At 46.3% G+C, this 23722-nt stretch overlaps 1 long non-coding RNA gene across 4 annotated transcripts in view, besides 4 other annotated features; it reads right to left on the reverse strand.

The window, feature by feature from the left end:
• LOC101928354 (uncharacterized) overlaps positions 1-23722 on the reverse strand; it is a 131186-nt gene that overhangs the window by 36394 nt on the left and 71070 nt on the right. For 2 of the 4 annotated variants that reach the window (XR_241980.4, XR_007059472.1), the window contains exon 2: positions 21254-21372. This is a non-coding gene — a long non-coding RNA (uncharacterized LOC101928354). Of the gene's footprint in view, positions 1-12559; positions 12688-19464; positions 19603-21253; positions 21373-23722 lie in introns of those variants that run through there. The other 2 variants (XR_001743992.2, XR_926516.3) reach the window with 2 other exon arrangements.
• Positions 2801-3095: a silencer, noted in NCBI's record as "tiled region #399; HepG2 Repressive non-DNase unmatched - State 22:ReprW". NCBI's record gives its function as "represses a minimal TATA promoter and a strong SV40 promoter by Sharpr-MPRA in HepG2 cells {active_cell/tissue: HepG2}" and the evidence as "EXISTENCE:reporter gene assay evidence [ECO:0000049][PMID:27701403]".
• Positions 13842-13941: an enhancer, noted in NCBI's record as "active region_24051". NCBI's record gives its function as "activates an Ori minimal core promoter by ATAC-STARR-seq in GM12878 lymphoblastoid cells {active_cell/tissue: GM12878}" and the evidence as "EXISTENCE:reporter gene assay evidence [ECO:0000049][PMID:35858748]".
• Positions 17009-17992: an enhancer, noted in NCBI's record as "OCT4-NANOG-H3K27ac hESC enhancer chr6:14639937-14640920 (GRCh37/hg19 assembly coordinates)". NCBI's record gives its function as "activates a minimal SCP1, AML or CMV promoter by ChIP-STARR-seq in naive H9 embryonic stem cells {active_cell/tissue: H9 hESC(naive)}" and the evidence as "EXISTENCE:reporter gene assay evidence [ECO:0000049][PMID:30033119]".
• Positions 17501-17795: a silencer, noted in NCBI's record as "tiled region #8489; HepG2 Repressive non-DNase unmatched - State 22:ReprW, and K562 Repressive non-DNase unmatched - State 7:EnhWF". NCBI's record gives its function as "represses a minimal TATA promoter and a strong SV40 promoter by Sharpr-MPRA in HepG2 and K562 cells {active_cell/tissue: HepG2 | K562}" and the evidence as "EXISTENCE:reporter gene assay evidence [ECO:0000049][PMID:27701403]".

A 23722-nucleotide genomic window follows, 5' to 3' on the forward strand; every position in this document is an offset into this window, starting at 1 on the left:
CCCAACAGCTTGGTGCATCTCATCAGTCCATAACCCTGAGCTCTCTGTATTGGATGCCATGCTCTTCACCTCCCCTCCACATCTGTCTCGTCTCATCTTTATCCACTACCTTCTCCCCAGTCCCTCTCTCCAAAACAGGTTCACTTGCTCATATTTAGTGGTTTTCAAAGTGTGGTCCCTGGTCCAGCAGCAACTGCATCACTTTGGAAGTTGTTGGAAATGCACATTCTCAGGCCCCACTCCGGACCTACTGAGTCAGAATCTCGAGAGAGGATAGGGCAGCCCTGAGATCTGTGTTATCAGAAGTCCTCCAAGGGATTCTGAGGTTTTAGAATCACTGCTCCAAATCCACACTTAACAAAAAAAGCTGGCCTGAAGCTGGTGTTGTTTTTTCTAAGATCACAGTATTGGAGTCAGTAGCCAGTTGTTTATACAGGAATGGGTGTCTCAGCAGTAACAGCACGATTCCAGCACTTAATTCAGCTGAGGTTTAAAAAGATTAATAACTATCATCAGGAGTGTAAGGGGGAAATGTTTTCTTTGAGGAAGGAGGCCTCTGCCTACCCACCCTCCCCTAGCTAGGATGTCTCCTTGTGAACACACTAGGCCTGATAAAAAGGCTCAACGGTTTATTTTACAACACAAGGTCCTTGGCTTTCTGACCCTTGGAACTGTCAACGCTTACCTCTAGAACTAGCTGCGAGATCTCTCACAGGGAATACATGAGACAAAAAATAAAGTGAGTCCTCTTGTCTCTCAAGGAGATAAAAGAAGTTTTCAATGTTTTGTCTTTTGGGTATAAATGCATGTGAAATCCTGTCCACACTTGATAGTTGCTTTTGTGTTCCTTTACGTGCATGTAATTCGGACCATGCCTATCTAATATTAAAAGAACATTCTCTCTTCCATATTGGCTTGAAGGGGAATTGGTTGGCAGGGTTGTTTTGCTTTTCTAATACAAGGGCAAGGGTTGGTCAATACTCCACACAGTTCTTTTGCCTCGTCATCTAAACCAAGTTGGGGAACACTGGCTGAAGGTAACTGTCCTCAAACATCTTTCCTCCCGGATGAACACCTCGCAGACCTCACACCAGTGGGTACACCTAGTATGGGTGTCCTACATACCCAACTTATACAGCTTTTCCCCTCACCCTCCATTTGCCTTCCTCTGTTATGTTTTTCTTCTTTGCCTTTACTGCCACCGGACACATTACATATAGAGATGCAGAGGTGTTTGTTTATTGTCCATTTCCCATATTTAGCATGTCAGCTTCAGGAGCCAGCACTGTGGTCTGTTCATTGCCCTTCCCTCCAAACCCTGAGCTGGCACATTGCAGGCACCTGACCTCTTCCCAGATAAAGTCCCTCTTCTCCCTGCCTGCAAAGCCTACGCCCTTCCCATTCTGGAAGGGCAGCCCCAGACCACCATGTTCTTAATCTCCTCTGAAACAAGACAGCTTGCCAAACCAAAAGCTGCTCAGTGTGAAGAGTGTTCCTCGGGCCTGTGACATTAGAATGCTACCCATCGTAAAGTCATCCGGCCACCAGCTTATTGCATATGTAGCTTTCTGACTCATAAAAATATCACCTTACACGGTAGCTCGTGAACTCGCCGCCGAGGGAGCGGAGGCCGTAGCTTTGGGGCTGCCAGAGAGATGCGGTGGGAAGCAGGAGAAGGCAGGGCATGGAGACGGGTATCTGTCGGCCCCGGCAGGTCTCCCCCTTTGACAGAGAATCCTAGAACCAATGCTCTGCTTCATGCCATGCAAATGAGATGCTGACGAGGTCATTGCATTCTGCCAGATGATTATCTCTGACATTTTATTCATAATAATTATAGAGCCTTTCCACCTTCAAAGTGCTTTGCAAACAATAATTAATTAACACTCATAACATCCCAGTGAGGTAGCTTAGTATTACTAATTTATCTCTACAGCATATTATTATCCATCGTTTCCTCCCTCTCCACAAAAACGGCTCCAGAGCTTCGGTGCACGGCCAGTTCTCCACCTGCCTTATGTGGAGTGAGGCTGTGGATTTTGTTTGTCCCAGTCCCACCATAACCCAACACCTTTTCTTAACTCAAATCTCAGCGTCCCTCCTGCACTCCTTCTCACTCCTTCTTCTTCCTGCCGTATTTGTCCCACCTCCATCTTTGTCTTTTTTTTTTTTTTTAAGACAGAGTCTCGCACTGTTGCCCAGGCTGGAGTATAATCGCACAATCTCGGCTCACTGCAACCTCCATCTCCCAGGTTCAAGTGATTCTCCTGCCTCAGCCTCCCAGGTAGCTGGGATTAGGGGCGCCCGCCACTACACCAGGCTAATTTTTTGTATTTGTAGTAAAGATGGGGGTTTCACCATGTTGACCAGGCTGGTCTCGAACTCCTGACCTTGTGATCCTCCTGCCTTGGCCTCCCAAAGTGCTGGGATTACAGGCGTGAGCCACTGCACCCGGCCGCTTTTTAAAAAATTCTAGCGCAAGACTGTTTTTAAGCCCCTTTCCTCTCCTGTCCTTGGCTCTGTTTCCTTTCCATCTCCACAATTCTATCTCCTGCTTCGCTCACCATTCATCCCCTGGTTATTTGGGTTTTAATGATGCAAATTCGACTTCTCTGAGGGGCGCTTAAAGGAAGGGCCTGATTGAACTCCTCTCTCCTTCCCCACTCCTCATTTTTATCTCCTTTCCTTGTTGGCTCATAGCGCCCCTCCCTTTCTGGCTCTGCACCCCACAGCCCCTCCCTTTGTTCACTCACTGGTCCCACACCCACCCATCACTGAGGACCCACTATGTGCTGGCCTCTGGGCTTAGTGCGAGGGTGGGTGGAGGGCTGGTAAAGATAAATGATGACCCAAGCTTACTCTTCTTTGAGGGGTGCCATAGAAAGATTTGAGAAGCTCTAGGGGATTTCAGAGGCAGCGTTCATTGTAATTCTGACTAAGAGTAGGGAAAGGGGAGGGGTTACAGAAGTCTTCACAAAAGTGAGGACACTTGAAAGACAAGGGGGATTTTGGGCAGAAAAGAGAGGAGCATCCCAGGTGTAGAAAACAGCATGAACAAGGGAAAAGAGAGGAACAGCATGAACTAGGGAATGTGAGTGTGGGCTTGGATCACTCAGATAACCCAGCCTCTGATTTCACCTCGAGCTGTCCCCAAGCAGGTACTCCATTACCACCCATTAGAAGGGAGAGGAGAGAAAATGGGGGGAGAGGAAGAAGGAGAAGGGAGGGGTAAGGCGGAAGGGAGGGGAATGAATGCCACCAGTAGGGAGGGGGCAAAGATTTTACCAGTGATAGAGAGAGAGAGCAGGGACAACCCACATCACATGGCAGGCAGCGTTTCTCTCCAAAAATCCCCCCTCAACACTTTGCCCACCTCTGTCAAAGTCCCTTGCGCACCAACCCCGGGTTATTCTTTTCCTGGGTTCCACAGCCTGCAAGGCCCAAATCCCCAGCCCTGCGAATTTCCCAGGCCCACTCCACTCCTCCTTTTCTAGGGCGTCCTCTCATTCTGTCACACCCACTGCCTTCTGGGGTGCAGGTGCCCCACAAACAAAAAGAGCCCCAGGCACCAGGATCTTAGCACTCTGGGAGCAGTCATCATCGGTATCAAATAATTTCTTCCTACCACAAATAACTTTTCAAGTCCTATTTGTGGAATTACAAATAGCCTGGTGTGGTTTTGTGTGTGTGTGTATGTGTGTGCCTGTGTGTGTGTGTGTGTGTGTGTGTGTGTGCCAGGAGAGTGAACCCTAAGTATCATGCTAAGCAGTTTGGACTGGTTTCTTGTTCGTTTCCTGGGGTCGCTGTAAGAAGGTAACACAGACTGACTGGCCTAAAGGAACAGAAATTGAGTGTCTCACAGTTCTGGAGGCTCAAAGTCCAAAATCAAGATGTAGGCAGGGCTGGCCCCTTTGGAGGGTTCTGCAGGATACTCTGGTCCATGTCTCTGGCTTCTACTGGCAGCCAGTGACTCGTATGATTCCTTGGCTTGGAGATGCATCACCCCAATCTCTGCCTCCACCTTCCTGTGGCCTCTCCCCGGGCCTGTGTCTTCACATGGCCTTCCTCCTATAAGGACCTTCCTATTGGATCAGAGTCCCACCCTCCCTGATAGGACCTCATCTTCACTGATTGCATCGGCAAAGACTATTTCCAAATAAGGCCACATGCTGAGCTACTCGGGGTTAGGACTTCAATGCATCTTTTGCCGGGGCAATGTTCAACCCGTGTAACAAGGATCACTGCCAGGTTTCTAAGTAAGTCAGGGAGTTGACTGACTAGATCCACTGCTCGTCAGGAAGGCATCTGCAGCAGCAGCAGTGTGGAGACAGATGGGATGTCAGAGAGACTGGACGGAGACCACCAAGAGGGCTGTGGGGGCTGCTTTAGTTTCCTCAAAAGCATCTGCATGAATTCAACACCCCTACCCAAACCAATCTTATCTCCTTTCATCTCATCTCGCACATGTCATATTCCAGCACAATTCTAAACATCTTAACAGTAATAGCAACAGTTAATATGTATTGCGTGCTTACTGTATTCTAGGTGCCACGCCAAGCCCCTCAGGAACAGCGTCCCATGTAATCCCCATCATTACTTTTTGGAGTAGACGTTTAGTTAATAAACACAGCATCAACTCTGTGCCAGATGTCATTCTAAGTGCTTTTAAAAGATAAATTCATTGAATCCTCATAACAGCCCAGTGAGATGATACTATCAACATCCTGGTTTGAGAGATATGATAACAAAGTTTAAATAACTTGTCAGAGCTGGACTTCAAACCGAGGCAGTGAGGTCTTCAAGTCTGCCCAGCCCACAGAAGCACTATTGTGCCTCCATAAACAGCAATAGACGGCCCTTGGAAGGGTAGGTTTCAGGGCATAGAAATGAATCTCTGCTCATAAAAGAAATAGAACGGGGATGGGGGGCATGGATGAATGGCAATGCTTGGGGAAAGATCTGTGTGTGATGCTCACTCTTTCTCCCCATTAGGGCTATGAGATAAGAGCAGAGATTCTCAAAACAACAGAATGGTCAAGCACACAGAGATGATGTGCCACAGATGGCCGAGCTGCCCCTGGGGTCTGGGAAGGAGACAGGTGATGCTAACTCTCATGCTCCCAGGGAGCTGGGAGAGCAGGGGGCTTCTGAGACAGGCAGAAGCTGTTCCTCTTCTGCAGGCACAGTCCCAGGCGGGGCTCGGCCTCTGGACTCAAACCCATCTTCCGCACAGGTGCCAGGGTGATCCTGTGGGAACACCCATCTGATTATGTCACCATCCCTCAGCCGCCACCAAGAATACTCAATGGTTCCCATCACCTACCAGATAAAATCTAAACCAGGCTGATCCCTCCCCTCTACTCGCCATCCCACCTAATGTTCTAAACTCTAGCCATGCTGTCCAGATGCACCCAGGGTGCTCTGCTGGCTGGGTGTGTGAGCAGGTGGATGTAAGTGTGAAAGCACACATATGTGTGTATGTGTGTGCTCATCTTTCCCTTGCTCCCTTCCGACCGCCCCAGTCCCACCCTCTGTTTCCACACCCCCTCCACCTCTTTCCTGCCAGCCCATCCTTTGGGTCTCAGTCACTTGGCACCTGCCAGTGAAGCCCTCCATGACTGTCCCCAAGCTGACTTAGATCTACCTCCATCTTTGCTCCTGGCACCCTTGGGGCCAAATTCTATGGCTTGTGAGTCATGATAAAATACACATGGCATAAAACTAACCATCGTAGCTGTTGTTGAGTATGCAGTTCTCTAAGATAAGTACATTCCCATCATTATGCCATCTCCAGAACTCTTTGCATCTTGCCACATGGAAACTCTGCACCCACCAAACTCTAACCCCCAGTGCCCCCTTCCCCCAGCCCCTGGAAACCACCAGTCTACTTTCTATCTCTAGGAATTTGACTATATCTCCACCACCTCCCCTTTTAAATTGTGTCAGAGTTGTGTCATGGGTATAATATCAGAGTACACTTTTCCATATTATTTTTATTTTAAACAATCTTAGATCCCACTCTGATCTCCCAACCTTCTGGGGCAGCAGACATCCCTGCACCATCATTAACAAGCCTACTGGCCCAGGGGAACTGTGCAGATCACCAAAGAGCTGGAAAGCCCCCTCCACTCGCTGGCCATTGTCAGTCCTTTCTGGTCCCCAGAGTCCGGCATGGTCCCAGCCCACATGGGCCTCAGGGCCAGTGGCCTCTCTGCCTCAGGTTCACGTCTAGGGAGTCTGGGGTGAAGCTGGAACCCCCAGTGCCTCCCCAGCCTCTCCAGGGCTGCTACACCCACACCTTTGAGACCTTTCCAAGAGGCCTCACCTTTCTGTCCTCCTCCCTCCCTTCCTTGGTCACCCTCAAAGCCTTCATGCTCAGCCTCGTGCCCCGGGAGTCACCTCTCTTGCATCCTGCTGCCCTCAGAGCCTGCTGACATCATTTTTTTCAAAGAGCTTGGGACTTCTACAAAAGCCTTTGACTTCAAGCAGCTTGTTTTCAGCCCTGAAAATATCCTGAAGCAAGGACAGGCAAAGGGCCTGTCTACCTGTTGGTCACGGGGAACGTAAAAATAGAGCAAATTACAAAACAATAACTCAAAAGATTATTCTGCCATATTGATACGTTTTTATACTCTTCTCCCTACTGGACTGGAAATAGCTTTAGAAATGAGTGGTGTCTCTGCTTTATCTCTCTAACACCTCTACAATCAAGTAGCTTCTCAGTAAATGTGACAGATGTGTACGAACAAATGCATGAATTAATGTAACTCAGGATTTTTCAGCCACAGACGTCTCCCCTTTCATACGTACACAGATACACAGAGGACCCACTCCTGAGCTCAGGCAGGAAATATTGGAAGCGTAATCCTACTAACTATAATATTTATTTTATACTTAGATTTTCCTGACTAAAAAAGTATACACAATTCCAGAATTTACAATAATAGAAGAATCTACTTTATTTCAATATCTTAGTTTGTGGGGAGAAAGAAAAGGCAGAGATACCCTATGGTCTTCTTGCTCTGCAAGGCAGCCTAAACTCACTGCTCCCATGACACGGCTTAGAATTAGTTCTCTGCAACCTGGAAGTAACCTGGAAATGGGAGCAGAACTCACATGTTATTCCTATGGGGCCATGCTCCGGGAAAGAGTAATAAGAGAGAGAGGAGAGAATGAATTCATAAGTAAAGGATTTCACGTCCAGCTTGGGAGAAAAAGCCACAGAAGCACAAGGGCACCAGGCTACACCACAGCCAATGAAGACCTGCTGTTTGATGTGCCCAGCTGGGAGACTGGGAAGCCACAGTGTCCTGGGAACCTGGGCCAGTTCTGATAGAAAGAAAGCTCCACCGTGCTGCTGGGCTCCGTGGAGAAACTCAGCTCCTGCAGCGGAGCAGCGTCCAGACGGGACTCTCCAGCCAGCCATCTGTAATGGCCAGCCCTAATAACTGACCCCTGATTCATCTTCTCCTATTCACTTCAAAGGACACCCCATGAGAGAAAGAGACAAAAGGCCGTCGAGGGGACTTGGGGGAAGGGAGGGAACTGGCTAAATAATTAGCCCTGCAACCTTCAAAGTCCTCTATAATCATTAATTAATCCACCCAACTGGGATCGGTGGGCAGATGGGCGCTCACCGCCGGCCCTGACACGCCCACTGCTAAATGGAGCCTGGGGGTTGAGCAAATGCACACAGGAGCAGAGGGGCCACCTGAGGGGAGAGGGACCAAGCCCCCAGGGCTCTGGCTTTGAGATTTGCCGTGAATAAAAATCTACGGATAACCTGAGTGAGGTGGCACAAAGGAATCAGGAAGCTTTTGAGAGAGAATCCACCCTAAGGCTGGGGGAAATAGAAGCAGTGGGTGGGCTTCTACTCCAAAGGCCAGGTATTAAAGGGTCAGGGTTCTGAAACTGCAAAGAGACTGCCCCCATATGAGTATATCTGAACCCTTGCCGTGGGTAACCCCTCCTGAGAACTGCCTCCTGAGACCATGAAGACCACTGCCCGGATCCCACCAGCAGAGGTAACGGCAGCAGCTACTGCCCTGAGCAGAATCCCTGAAGCCACCCAGGGCAGATGTGCGGGATGGGGGACCCATGTTCAAATCGCAGGGCTTCGAAGACCCACTGCATGCTTTACTATGGATCCCATCACTGTGAACTTGGCCGTCTGGGGAGATATAAAATTGTTCCGTCTACACCTTTTTGACTAGGTCTCCCATCCACCAATGTACGGTTTGTGCAATACGATAAACTAAAATAAGGATGCAGTTTAAGATTTATTACCCAAAAATGAGCTCACACTTCTCAATTCTTTATTTCTATCAATGCTTAGGAAGGAAAATGAGCGGTGAGATCAAGATGTCACCGGGGAGACAAACCACTGATTTCTCAAGATGCACAAGTGGTTGGTTATCCACCCCAGCAAATTCACAGAAATGCCTGACCCTGGGGCATGCATTTCCCAAACTCAATTTCAATGTCTTAAAACTGTTTGGACTTGAGGATAGTGAGCCATGCTAGCAAAACTTATAAGAAACTGATATGTTAACAACACAATGAATTAACATTACGATTATGATCACGGCTGAAGACTTACTGTGGGTCAGGCATTCAGCAGGACACTTTTCTGCATTATGTGTGCTTTTCCTTGTTTCTCATGCCTACCCATACCTATGAGATGGTGACTCTTCTCATCCTCATTTTTCAGAAGTGGAAGCTGAGCTCCAGGTCTCACATATTGTAAATGGCAGAGCCATTTTTCAAACTCAGGAACCACTTCTCCATTTACGTTTTGGCCATTCCTCTCTGTTGCCAAGACAAGCATAAGTGCCAAGCCATCAAGAAAAGCCCTGTCCTATGCTTTCTCTGCACAGGCAGATTTTCGGAAGGGTGCTCACTGAGGCTGGAATCCAAACGCGGGGAGCACTGTGATGTGAGTCTCTCAGGGCCTCCCTCGGTGGCTGGATGTACCTGCCAGGCTATCCCTCTCAGAGCACCTTCCCTCTGAAGCCCAGGGGGTCCTGTCCAGGCTGCTTTGGGATGCTCCCTGTTCTGTTTTCCTGATGCAGGCTGGAAAACCCCCAACATAGCCATGTGCAACCCTTAAGTTCCACTAGGTGCTGGCCTTCTGTCTCTTTGAGAAGACTTTGAAAATCTGTGTTCTAATCTAATCTGTGCTCAAAAGGTGGGAGATAATGGATGATTCCACTTATATGAGGTCCATAGCAATAGACCAATTCATACAGAGATAGAACAGAATAGAGGTTACCAGAGACTGAGAGGTGACGGGAATAGGGACTTGTTGTTTAATGGGTACAGAGTTTCTATTGGGGATGATGAAAAAGTTATAGATAGATAGATAGATAGATAGATAGATAGATAGATAGATAGACAGACAGACAGCGGTGATGGTTACCCAGCATTGTGAATGGATTTAATGCTACTGAACTGTGCCTTTATGAATGCTTATGAATGCTTAAAATGATACATCTTATGATATTTTTACCATAATAAAAAGATAAATAAATAACATCTGATATATGCTGCAACATAGATATACCTTAAAGACATCACGCTAGGTGAAATAAGCCAGACACAGAAGGACAAATACTGTGTGACTGCACTTATGTGAGATACCTAGAGTGGTCATATATTTCTAGAGACAGAACGTGGAATGGTGGTTTCCAGGGGCTGGGGGAAGAAGAGAATGAGGAGTTGGTGTTTCATAGGTATGGAGTTTCAGTTAGGGATGATGAAAAAATACCCAGAGCTGGATGGTGGTGATGGTTGCACAAGGTTATGAATGCGCTCAATGTCACTGAAATGTACATTTTAAATGGTTAGAATGGTAAATTTTATGTTATGTATATTTTACTCCAATGAACAATTTTTAATAAATGAGGAAGAAGGTATTTTGCCCCACACACCCTCTAAAAAGAGTCTCCTTTGTAACGGGGGCTCAGGAGTCCCAAAGCTGAGACACGGCGAGTCCCCTCCACAGGCCTCCAGCTGCTGGAGGGGTACCTCACAATTCTGAGGATGTAACTAGGCAGGACACAGAGCTGAGGAGGGGTAGGTTCTTGTGGGGCTTCCAGATGCCTCCCAGTGTCTCCACAGGATTGGCTGTGTGTGGCGTCCCTCTGCCCAGGGCTACTACCTCTGTTTTCCTGGCTCAGCCAGCGAGCTAAGGAGCTGTGTCATTGGTGGCTGTTGGGGTCCTGCTCTGGGCTACCTGACAGCTCCAGAAGTGTCCATTTGCTTCCATTACCAATATCCCTGCTTTTAGAAAACTCAATATTCCTGATGCTCAATTCACAAACAGAGAAGTCATGATTGCGATACTCCAGGGTTTCGAAAAAAAATCAGACATATTGATAAAGATATAACAATACATATTTTTTAAATGTCCACATTCCATTTCTCAAGAGCATGCATTTCTCATAAAGTAAGATGCACTGACACTTCTCCCAGGGCTCCAAGGACAATACTCACTGCCACTTTTCCAGCCCAGAGCACTCAGCAGGCCACCTTCACATCCCTCCCTCTACTGGGTGACTTGCAGACTCTGAGCCTCCTCCAGGACCTTTGGAACTACCTGGCTTCCCCCTCTGGGAGCAGCTCTCAAAGCAGGGTCCCCCAGCCCTTTCTAGAAGAGGACCTTTCTCAAAACCCTGTTGAGAAAACAGCCAGTCCCCGGGAGGCCTGCTGTCCTCTCAGCAGTCAGCACAGGTGAACAGGGACTGCAGCAGGTGTCTGCGTGACTTTGTCATTGACAAGCACATCCAGCAGTGCCTTGAGACCTGCTCAGAAAGTTATCTGCTGATACCATCCCTGTGGACACCTCCAGGAGCTGCCAGGGGATACTCAGCCCCAGCCACGTCCAAGTGCAGCCAGAAGCCTGCCCAGGCCAGTGCGTTGGAGTTGTGAGTGATCCTGCTTCCTGACAAGGGCCAGCTGGGCTCCCCCAGCCTCCTGGTCTCCAGACTCCCTGGGCTCAGCCTCCTGTGGCACTCCTGAGCTTCAGAGAGGGCTGGTTCTGTGACTGGAGCTGTCAGCTGCAGAGATACTGCAGAGACACCTTTTAAAATTCATGGCCTTACTCTTCAGAGTTCAGAAACAGATCAGACTCCAAGATGAAAGCGTGGTTTACCCTTTCCCTGGTCCTGCCAGCCCCTTCCCATCTCCCATTCCACCCTCCTTTCCATGTCTCCTTCCCGCAGCTTTCCTTCCCCATTGTCCTCCAGGATATTTTGCATTTATCCTAGTTCTTAATCCACCTGCTTTCATCAACCAAAGCCAAAAGAACACTCCTTTGTTTCCAAAAAGAACATTCGCTCAGCTCGCAATGCAGGCCTGACTCTCAAAGGTATCTCCCTTTGTCAGGTAGGAAGGGCCACGAAAGGTGTGGCTGGGCAAAGGAGATAGAGCAGAGTTTTGAACTGAAAAGGAGGTGGGCGGCAAGGGGTGCAGTTCTCCTTTTTTTTCCAAGAAAGGCATTTGCTGAAGGGCCATCCACCTGAGTCGGGGGGGTGGGGGCGATCCAGGGGCGGGGCAGACAGGCTGGCAGCAGCAGCACATCCTGCCAAGATGAAAGAGCGATGTGTTTGCTTCTTGCCGCGAGTATAAGCAACAACAGAGATCCTCTCAGGAGAATTCCATCCCCAGACATCTCCTTGCAGCATCTCCCCTGTTGGGCCTTTACTAAGAGGCAGCACCTAGTGTCCTCACTGATGTGGGCACCAGGAAAGCTCGCTCTCCTCCCAGACACAGGCTGCCACACTCAAGGCACAGAGACTCTTCGCAGCCACAAGAAGTAAATGGAAGAGAAGCAAAGCCTGCTGACTTCAGGGGCATGGACCCAGTGGCCAGGATGACATGTCCAAGCCACAGAGGGAGAGTCTGCCCTGGGAATGAATGATTCCTTTTGGAAGGAATGATGGATAACACTTATCAAGAATTTATCTGTACCTGACACAGTTCTAAATTCTTCACCTATATCAGCTCACTTAACCCACAAAGCAACCTTATGTAGTACATCTCATTAGCCCCACGGTTAATCTGATGCACCAACTTAGCTAGGCCATGGGACCCAGATATTTGGTCAAACACCAGTGTAGGTATTGCTGTGCAGGTAATTTTTAGATGAGATTAACATTTACATCCGTAGTCTTTGAGCAAAGCAGGTTACCCTGAATAATGTGGGTGGGCCTCATCCAGTCAGTGGAAGGCCTTAAGAGAAATGACTGAGGTCCCCTGGGGAAGAGAGAACCTGCTTCAGAATACCTTCCCACTGGAACGCCATCAACTCCTCCCTGGGTCTCCAGCCTGCCCTGAACGTTTTGGACTTGCTAGTCTCCACAATCGCTTGAGCCAGTTTCTTAAAATAAATCTTCTTCTCCTCCTTCTCCTTCTCTAGTTCTTCTTTTTCTTTTCTCTTCTCGTCTCTTTTCTCTTCTCTTCTTCTTTTTTCTCTCCCTCTCTCATTCTCTCTCTCCACCCCACCCCCCACCCCCAACCTGTTGGTTCTGTTTCTCTGGAGAATCCTAATACACCTTACCTTACAGATGAGGAAACTGAGGTGCAAAGCAGTCAGCTGTTTTGCCCAAGATCTTGAGGCCAGTGAGTGTCCCAGGCAGGACTAGAATGCATGCTGCCTGGCCCCAGACCTGGCTCAGGTAACCAGACAGCCTGCTGCTTCCCTCAGCCACAGGAAGTGGCTCAGCCACAGGAAGTCACGGCTACCTCTCCATTCACAAACCAAAGAAGGTAGGAGGTGGAAGGAAAATGCATTAAAAGTAAAATTCAGCTGGGTCAATGGACAAGGACAGGATATAGACTATAAAACCAATGATATTTGTTTTCATTCTAGGCTTTATTTTGATATCTGTGACCTTAAGTGTGATTTACATCTCTCTGAGCCTCCATTTTCCTGATATGCAAAATACCATAAAAACTTTGCAAGGCTACTGAGGGATTAAATGGGATAATTTTATGTGCAAATAATATTTCCCAGGATATGAGTGAAATCACGTGGCTTGTGTGATTAAGACAACTGTTCCAAATTCTAGTGGCCTAAGTCCCCACTTGCTTGACTTACAAGAGATCCAGGTATTTACAGAAATAAATAACTCTCTCCAATAAGTTTCAGGTCCTCAAAGCTGCCAACCTGTGCCCCTGCTGCCCGTGTTCTCATCCCAGGGGTGGGGTCCCAACCATCTGAGTCCTCAGGGCCAGACAGTATAGCAGTCCCTTTCACGGAGCTCTCATCCACCTTGAGTTCCAATTGCTGATCAAAGCAATGCCCAGAGCAAAGCTGCACCCCCAGCAGGTGAAGGCTGGGCTACAAAGTGGGGTTCACTGCCCAGACCCTCCCCCTCTGGGCCAGCTAAGCATATCAGAACCCCTCTTGCTCATAGTGATGACTCACCAGGACCTCCCCTCCCTGTTCCCCATCGCTACCCACCCATCCATCAGATCTGTCACTGTACCCAAAGCCTAATGGTGAATGGGACTCGTGTGTTTCTCTCTCAGAGGGCTTCTCCACCCCCATGGAAATAAACATGTACAAAAGGACGTGAAGAAGAAAGAAGCTTCACCAGTAACATCTCTGTACAGATCCTACCAGGCTGAAAGAACAAAAAGCCTAGCTGTGGGGTGGTTGTTTTGCTTTTTGGTTTTGTTTTCACTGTGGTTTGTGTCACATGTTAAAGATGTCCCATGTGTCAGGAACAATCGCAAAGTACTTGACCTGCTTTATCTCATTCAGTCGTTCCAATGCCTCTGTTGTTGTGTCATTAGTGTTTCCATTTTATGGATGAAGAAAGCTGAGGCTTAAAGAAGAGAAGTAACATTTCACTGCCTCACAAATAGTGACAGAGCCAACATACAAACCTAGGCTTGTCTGGCCCCAGAGCCCTCATCCTTAACCACCACACTGCACCTTTGTAAAGGGCACAACTATTTGTGTCTAACAAATATTAGTTATCTTTTCTAAGAGCCAAGAGACATTTGTTCTATCCCAACTCTGTCTCTTAGAAGTCAAATGGCTCAGCTTCCACATTTGTAAAAAAGAGAGAACTAAAGTAGAAAATTCTAATTGTTTCCTGAAGCTCTAAAAAGCTACAATCCTAAGAATTAGTGGCCAGAGACCCTAAGCTGCTTAATACATTTATACCACATCCTCCTCAGCTGGTACTCGGCATTGAGGAAAATTCTTAGAAACAGAAATAAACAAAAATATTAAGCATAAGCCGTCATCAGATTTACATGTTATGCTGCAAAATTTATTGTTCTGTTCCTTTTCCTTTAAATGGGAACATTTAGGTCAAGGATATATCGTCATAATATCTCTGAGATGGGAGCTATGAGTGACTGGGCAAACAGATTTCCGATTCTAAGAATCTTCTCTGAAATCAGATGCTTGATAATGTGAATATTAAAATTCCCCCTTCACCCAATAACAATGTGGAAAAACATCTGTCCTTTTTGTTTTAAAATAAACATTGAGAATCTCTCTTTTAAAAATGGTAGAAATAATCATGAAACTAAGTATAACCACAAGAAAAAGTATTTGAGAAGAACTGAAAGACTAAGGGAGAAACTTGATATAATGTCCATCTCCTTGTACTTATCCTCTTCCTTTTAGCTTAATGCCACCTCCTTCATGAACACAGAATTGGAACCCACAACGGATGAGGTCTTGGCCTCACGTATGGGTAAAGCCTCATGTAAAAATAAACAGAGAGGAAATGCTGACGATGCCTGTCACTCCACTCGGATCAATTCACTTCAACATGCTCATTGCTCCATTTCATTTCCTACACCTTGGCCTTGCACACTCTTGCCATGCAAGGGCCGACTCCCAATAGGGAGTTGATTGTTTTGTTTAGGAATTCCAGAGCACCAATCAGATGGGGGGTCCTCATTCTACTCCAGCACACACACTCCACAAATATCTCTCTCCTCTCTCTTATTTTTCATTTTTAACCATTTAAATTCATGTTTATTTTTATGTATTGCTAATGTATGACATAGAGTTCCAGAGGGACTGTCAACTTCCTAAAAAGAATACACCTTCATTAACTCTCTCTACAAAGATGTACCATGTGCCTACTATGCCAGCAGGTGTCTGTACAGAAACAAAAAGGCACAATTACCACCCTAAGGAACCTCCTGTAGGATTCAATGCGGAGGCCACCTCCTCCAGGATGCCCTCCCTAGTACCTGGGTCAGAGTCCTGTGGCATTGGGTATTGGAGTCCATGATTCACCTTCCCTGCAGTGTGATTGTTGGTTTACTTAGGAGGCCCTCATTGCTTCCTTCCCATCCAGTGGGAGACATTCAAATAGGATGCAACTCACAGCTCCCTTAGCCAGAATTGCAGTAATGATGATAATGGTAATGATGTTAATAATCCTATCCATGAAAAACAGGTAACTCCTTTTTAAAGAAGGATTTCTTGCTTATCACCTTCGGTCCTGAATCCCTGGATATACCTGGGTGCAGGCTTCTTGGGGCTCAACACATGTCTGGGAGGATGCCAAGATGGCAGAATGATGTCAGTTTCTCACGGGGTGCTGCTCCCTTAGATCTGTACCATGCTGCCTAATATACGTCAGTTGCATTGAAATGAAAAATGAATAGGAAGTAGATCTTGCTGCTAAAACATATGCATCAGAAAATCATTATGAGTATTAAATTACTGCAATAAAATGAACCAGAACTAATCTTGCAAATTAAGATCCAATAAATTTTTTTTCATGGCCACACCTTTTCTTAAAAAAAAAAAAAAAAGAAAGCAAAAGAAGATTTAGCTTAATAGTATTAAAATTGACTGTAAGGATTTTGAGCGTGACATGGAAAGAGTCGATCAAGAAATTTCCATATGACAAATAGATTTGCATTTTTGGAGGGTGGGGTTGGAGGTTGTCAGGAAGATGTTGAGAATACTGCCCCTGTGCCAATTGGTAAAATGATCAGTTTTTAAGCTGACATACCTATGTATTTTACATGTAAAATTTATGTATACATATTCCCCTTCCTCTTTTCTGCTCCCCACAAATCCCCCAACTTCCCACTCCTTAGATAAGGTTCTGCTGACACAAGAAACTAGTAAATTTCTAAATTTCTGACAACCTCGTATTTTTAGAAGAGATGCTGCTGTCGTTCAAATTAAATCTGAAGCTGTAAATAAACCTTTAGAGCTTTGCCTGTTCACTGGAATAACAGGATATCTCCCTCCACCCTCCAGCAGGAGAGAGACTGTAATTAGCTCATTGTCCGTGAATAGGCACAAAAGAGGCGGTGCTCCCCATACTGGCTCCCTTTCAACAGCAGATCTTGGGGCAGATGTTAATTCATTAAGTGAGTAACTTCCACCATCTCCCAGGAACACCAGGGAGCCCGACTCCCCGTTCCAAAAGGGACACTGAGGAACAACATGAAATACTCTGGCCAAGGACTCACAGAAAGGGTACTCGGAGAAGAAAAAAAACCACCACCAGGATTCACCTCCCTGCTGCAGCCTGCTTCCTGGCGCTGGTTTTGGCAGCCCATCCCGGGGCTGCTCTGTGACACCCGGGGAACCAAACTATTTATAGCCACGCAGTCATTATAAACAAAGCTGTTTATAACATCGAACCTTGGCCCTGCATGAGTTAAAACTCTAGACTGGCAGCTATAAATAACTCTGTTATGCGCTCGAGTGTGACTATTGACTGATACTTCCTCAAATTGTGACAAATAATGACAAGTTTGTTTGACAAACATCCCACTGACATTCATCTGATTTTGAATAAGTGGTGCTGCTTTCTTAATTTGGTCCCTGAGGCCCAGGACTTCAGGAACTTTCTTTATTCTTTCTCTCTCTCACCTCCCGCATCAGGAAACTGTCCTGTGTGTAGTTGTTTTTTCCCCTAATCAACTGGAAGGGATTTGGGGCCATCTAAGGGGAAGCTTATTAAATCCACTGTTTCTCTCTTGGGATAATTCTGCTGTAGGGGCTTTGCAAGGGTCTGGGGAGTTTTGTTAATGACAGAAGGAGGGAGGGGTAGAAAAATGTGGGCCAGGCTGTGGTGGTAGGTAACACAAGGTGGAAAGGGGAAAGCAGAATTTAACATCAGACTGACTGGAATGTCAGTGTTTAAGGGGGACCAGAAATGTAGAAATTTGAGAAGTAGTTCACACTGAATCGATGAAAGACAAGATTCTGGATGGAGGGATTTACCCCCCAGGGCTTCTGGTCTGAGAGATCTTGTAGATCCAAGATTGGGGTCCCCAAGGCTCGGGTTCTCTTTCGAGGCCAGCTGATATTAACATACGTCATGAGTGACGTGAGATTCTAGAGCTCTCAGGGACCTATGAAATGGTCTGTTACTCGGTCATTTCACAGGTCAAAAAGCTGAGGCCACAGGGGCTCCCAGGACTCTTTAGAGCAGAGCTAGACTAGAACTCAGCTGTCTGGACTCCTGGCTAGAAGCTTTATCTTTCATCAGGAAATTAATTAACATGTGAAAAGCATGTGGAATTGTCCCTGGCCTGTGTTGACTGTTTTACAGGAGCACACCATTCACACCATCCAGGTTGCACATCTTTTCTGTCTCTATTAACTCTATTTGCACGGTCTCACACAGCGCCCACCGTCTCCAATCCCTCCTATGCAGAGCTTTCGCAGCAATCTTGCGAATATGCAAAACTGCTGCTCACTGGTCAGCCCACTCCCAGACCAAGCTGGGAGCGCAGTAAGAAGACCTGACTCAGGATCCTGCAAAGGCAGAGGTGGCACCTGAGAGCAAGTCTCCTTAAGTTTTGTGCCCTAGGCCCCTCACGTGACTCACCCTAGTCCCACCCACACTTACCCAAATAAACATCTCCCAACTGGTTTGCATGTCTGCAAAAATTACTGCAGACATCTCACCCTTGCTGACAAAGTCCTCAATCCCTGGTCCCTCCCACTTCTCCTGCCCAAATCTATGCTTTACCCCAAAGTGTACTCTTCACTCCTTCCCAGAACACACAGCCTCGGATGTTTCCCATTCCCTTTGATAAGAATGCCCCCTTTACATGACAAAACCCTGACCATCTTTCCTGACCCATTGCAGATGCCCAAGGAAGCCCTTGTTGACTGATCTGGCAGCTGTGATGTGCTTTCCTTGGAAGCCCCATCACCCTTATTTATATGTCTCTTTCAGCGCTGGCCTGTCTTAATCCTGCCTTACAGTTATTTGTGAATGTGCTTATGTTTAATCCTCTTTTCTAGTGGTAAGAGGGAGATCTTTCTTAATCATTTTGGTATCTTCTAGCACAGTGTATACCTAGAAAAGGGTGAATGAAGTCTTTTAAATCTACTTCCTAAAAGTGCAAGCAAAAACACAGAATGAAACAAACCGGAAAATCTTCAAAAGTAATAAAGGACCGTATCAACTAAGAAAGATTTGGCCAATGTGTAAATAGGTAGCAAAACCTAAAATGGCCCAGCCAGATAAGTGCATGCGTCCTTAGAACCAGCAACTGACACAGAAACTGGCAAACTAGTAAGACAACTGGAAAGAAAGAAGCCAAATAACTGGCAATTAAACAAGCTGGAGGATCACAGGGGCAAGTGTCTAACCCACTGCCAGTCAGCCAGCCAACAAACGTTTATTTAGAGCCTGCAAGCACATGGCACAGAGCTGCCTGTTAAAGAAGAGATGTTTTCCTGGCCTTCGGGAATTGACAATCAGCTCCACTTTCTACAATTTCCCTGCCATTTCAGCTTTTACTAAGACCTGTGGAACTCCAAGTCTCTTGTTGGTTCCCAAATTCTTAACAATGAGCGAATTTGCCAGGCTTTGCCCAGCCTCCCCAGAGAGTCCATATCCGTTTGTGTGTGTGTGTGTGTGCGTATGTGTGTGTGTGTATATCAGCCCTGGCTTATCAGCCCCCTGTGACCTGTCAGGGCTCTTGGCCCTTCGATGGCCTTGCGACACTCCATGGACTCATGACAGAACTCACTACATCAGAACTAACCCATCCCGGAGAAGAAGCAGATGAGAAAACAGCAGCTGACAAGCGAACCACCAAAGAGGAAAAACCAAATTAAACACTCCTTAAGAAGCCAAGTCCTCTTTCTTCCTCAAAAATGACACGGGAAGGAAGGCGCGGGACAGGAGAGGGGCTCCAGGTCCCTTTGCGCTGTTCCATATTAACACAGTCACACTTTGCGATGCACTTGTCACTTCCAATCAACACCAGGGCTTTCCAGGGCCTGGACACTCATTGAAGGGATTGTTACTGTTGGTGAATGGGGAATTAATTAATGCAAAGCCAACCAGTTCATAAATGCCTGCTTTGTGAGCAGTTCCTGCATCCTGGGGACCGCGACTCCTGTGGTCAGCGCAGCCCCAGGACTCCGTGTCAGCAAATGATATTTATGATCGCCATCGGCCCCTTCTTCAAACCACCCAGGGGGAAGCGAGGCCTCACCTGGAGCCTGGGCTTTTCCCGCTGTGGGCACAGCCAAGGGTCCTCCGGTTTCTCTGGTGCTGAGCAGGCAGTGCAGAAAAACTCTCTCCAGTCTTCTGAATCTCTCGCCCACAACCTGACTTACTTCGTGAAGAAAGGCTTCATTTGCAAGTCATAGTGATGGGAACAGGCAGGAAAACAGAGAAGTTTTTCTCAACCCACTCCATTCCAAATTTGGTTACTTGACCTCTAGGCAGGTACAAGAATGTGCACACACACACACACGCACACAATCACACACACACACTCAAACAGTGCCACGTATATGCACAGAATTTCTCTGATCTGTGTTACCTACACAGTCGTCAACTAATTTAAAAATCAGTTCTGATTTGAATGTGGCAAATGGACTCTTCAGGTAACCTAGTTACTAAGAATATAAGATGGAAAAAGTGGTAACCGAACATGCCAAGCCCCCTCCATCATATAGACACACACATCTCATTGAGAGTATACAATGTAGTTTTACTCCCCCTCCAAAAAAAAAACTGGTCCCAAGTTCTGCTGACATAACATGCCCAGGCCCTGCCTCTGTTTTTGCTGTGGTGGCTTTGCTACCTCCTCGCTTTAAACTGCCATGATGCAGGCCTGAAAACTCCCTTTTGCCTTTAAAACATAATGCACTATGATATTAAAGATGGTGGAATTGAGGATGGCTTTTTCTCCTTTATGCTTTGCTGTGGTATCTAAATGTTCTACGATTAAGGTGTGTTTTATAGTCACCAAAAAAATGCATGATGTGAAAGGAGAAAAGAATGTTAGTTTCATAAAATCCCTCAAGAGCGACTTTGGCAGCTTTATCTGATTTTTGAGGTCTTGAAAATTAGCCTGGGTCATAAAGCAAGGAGACTGTGACATTTTCTGAAATTGGATCCCATACTGCTGGTTTCTGTCTGACCTTAGGAAAAAAGCAGGAAGTAAAAAAGAAGTTTATCCTTGGAAAATTCATTCTCTCCTTGCCATGTCCTTAACCCTCTTCCTATAACCTTGCCACCACCCTTGGAGTTCCCATCACTTTTCCTGTTTTGCTTTTTTTCCTTATCATTACTTAAAATATACCCTGAGGATAGGCTGTAGTATCAGTCATCTACACCTTAGTATAAATTAAATTAATCAACATTACTTTAATCCCAATGTTATAAGTTCCTATTTGTAATTTAATTCAAAATCCGATTGTATGATAAAATGTACCAGCTAATGAATAAAGGAGCTGATGTCTGTCATCTCTAGATCAGACATCTAGGCTACTGGCTTCTCTGTTTTGGGAAAGGTAGTCCCTGGAACAAATCACACAGTGCTGTGATAAATTTTTCCACATTAGCTATAGAATATCACCATTTAGTACCTCTATCCCTTTAGAAAGAACTCACTTTCCAGAGACACAGTTAAATGTAAGAATGGTTGCAGATAACGTGCAGTCTACAAAAATATTCATAAGCCCCACGGCTTTTGAAAAACAGTATTCTTTATTTCTACTTGGGAAACTGTATTTGCTACACATAGACATTGAGTATATATGTTGAGTGCCTGATAAATCAAAATGTATAAATGATTTTGAGTGCTAGATTTTGGAAACAGGAGAAAACTATATTCCAGAGAAGTTAAATAACTTGCTGCAGGTCATTCACCAGTCAATAAACTAGGGCTCGAACCAGAAAGAATGGTTTCTGATTCCTAGACTGGGCTCTTTTTGTTTCAATGTCTTAATCTCCCAAGCCACCTAATTCAAGTTCTGGAAAGATCTGATTACCTCAAGCCTTGGAATGATCCTCCAGTGCTTCCTTTTTGGGAATTCTTGGCAAGTAGGCTGAGAAATGAGGCACCGTGTTTCTGACCCTCCTGAGCCTTCTCTGTTTATTAGACCATGCTCTGCAGATAAAAGGGCAACAAAAGACAGGAAAACTTAGGAAGAGACAATCACTTGTTGTTGCTGCCTTTTCTATCCTTCTGATCCATATCACACTCAGTGTGGTCAATCCCTGGTCACCCACATGCCGTCCAGGACCTAGAGAGAGGCAGGACTTCCAAGGAGCTTCCTCACGAAGCACCCCTTAGGCAGAGTCTTGCAGCTGGGAGTCCACCACCCCAACCAGAGGAGTGAAGCAGTGGTGATCTTCTCTTATCCAGAGGTAGAGTGCAACAGTTAGTTGACTCTGTACCCATGGTCAGTCCTGGGGTCACCTTCTAGGTGTCCAGGCCCACCTAGACAGCATCTAGGCCTCCCAGTCCTTGTGTACCCTGTAAATTTTCCAGCACAAACCTTCCTGCTGTCACCTGAATCCAAAAGGAGATCTTGACCATGACTAGTCAATGTGCACTCCATAAAGAATCTCAGTACTTGTCATTTATAGATTTGTTCACTCAGCTAAAATATGGCAAGTGGTTCCCATACACAAGGCACTGGGCCAGGTTCCCACTGCATAAAGAAGCCAATCACACAGCTTCTGCCCTCAACAAGCTGATGGGAAATCAGAAAGACAGACAAATGACAGAAAGCCAGGTTAATTTATACCCAGATAGACAAACTCCTCTTTATTCTTTATGACTCAGATCAATTATCATCTCCTTCAAAAGGTTTCCTGGCCATCTACAGGCAGTTACATGGTGATCCTTCTGTGCCCTGATGATATTTGGTTTGCTCCTCAACAATAGCCATTTCTCGTGTTGTTAAAATTACTTCTGTGCTCATGTGTGTCATTCTTTAAATTGTATGAAAAAGGGAGAGGGTGGAGGGAGGAAAGGCAGAAGCTATTATTCAACATCTCCAGACACCCAGAGTATCTGGGACTTTTAAGACAAGTGAATGAATGGATGAATGGGTGAATGGGTAAATGAATGAATGAATTTTCAAGCTCTTTTGTCCTCTACATAGATTTCCTTGACCCAAATATGTATCCACCCGTCCAAACAGGAGGTAAATATCCTCATGGCTTCGGAATATGTGAACTGTGGTTGTTTCCTGCTCATTATCCAAACTCACAGAATTTGGAGCAATGAAAGCCTCATCTCACTTAGCCAAAAGCAATATTTTCTTGTCTTTGCTTTTGTTTTTCCAGGAGTGTAATGAAAGTGCATGTGCATGTGGGTGTGTATTTGTCCTGCACATAATTAGGCAGTGTCTTCAATAACAGGTGTCCCTCCAATAGGGCTCAGTGGTGACGGAGGGCATGGAGGGGGAAACCAAGGAGATAGGGAGAAGAAGCCTGCCAAAACCGATCACCAAATGAATTCAACCAATTCATTAAATCTGAACGCACACTCAGCCACAGGAGGATAAATTGGACCAACACCCCAGCGTCAGGGTGGTTACAGCGTCTGTTAAATGGCCTGTTAATGTGATAGTTGAGACTTTTCCACAGAAATTACACTGGCTACAGTCACAGCATGGCACACCTGGCTCCAGATCACCTCCTACCAGGCAGTGTCACACTGCAGGCCAGGGAGATAGGGATTTTCAGTGCTACCTGGCCTGGCCTCCTGCCATCATTTTGAGCTCTCTCTGTTTTGTAGCCTATTTCTTTTAAGAGAATGCCAGTCATCTCCATTATAACGTGCATAGTGCCATAATTTTTGTTTGTTCTTACAAGTGGAATAAAGATGTTTTACCCCACAAATAAGAACAGTTTAAAAACAGTTTGTTACAACTCTTTTGATGAAGTCAGTCAACAAGGCATGAATAGTAAGGTCAGGTGGCACCCTTGTCCAAGAAAAGAAGGTGGTAAGCATTGAAGAGCAAAACACAAGGACCCTGAATAGATTCAAGACAGCCCTTTATCTTTGGTTTTCTGTATAGTCCAAAGTACAGGTGAGAGAAATCCATGCTCAATGAGTCATCAACACTTACTGACCACCAATGTAGCCAAAGACTGTCTAGCTGATTCAGGGCACCAAGAGGGAAGAGTTGATATGGGTGTCACGTACAAGTCACTTCTCACTTAAAGAGTAAGATCACACCTGTAATCCCAGCACTTTGGGAGGCTGAGGCGAGCAGATCACCTGAGGTCAGGAGTTTGAGACTAGCCTGGCCAACATGGCGAAACCCTGTCTCTACTAAAAATACAAAACTTTGCGCCCGGTGTGGTGGCAGGTGCCTGTAGTCCCAGCTACTCGGGAGGCCGAGGCAGAGGAATCACTTTAACCCGGGAGGTGGAGGCTGCAGTGAGTCAAGATTGCGCCACTGCACTCCAGTCTGGGTGACAGAGCAAGACTCTGTCTCAAA

The sequence above is a fragment of the Homo sapiens genome, chromosome 6 (genome assembly GCF_000001405.40).
Source record: "Homo sapiens chromosome 6, GRCh38.p14 Primary Assembly".
Classification (NCBI taxonomy): Eukaryota; Metazoa; Chordata; class Mammalia; order Primates; family Hominidae; genus Homo; species Homo sapiens.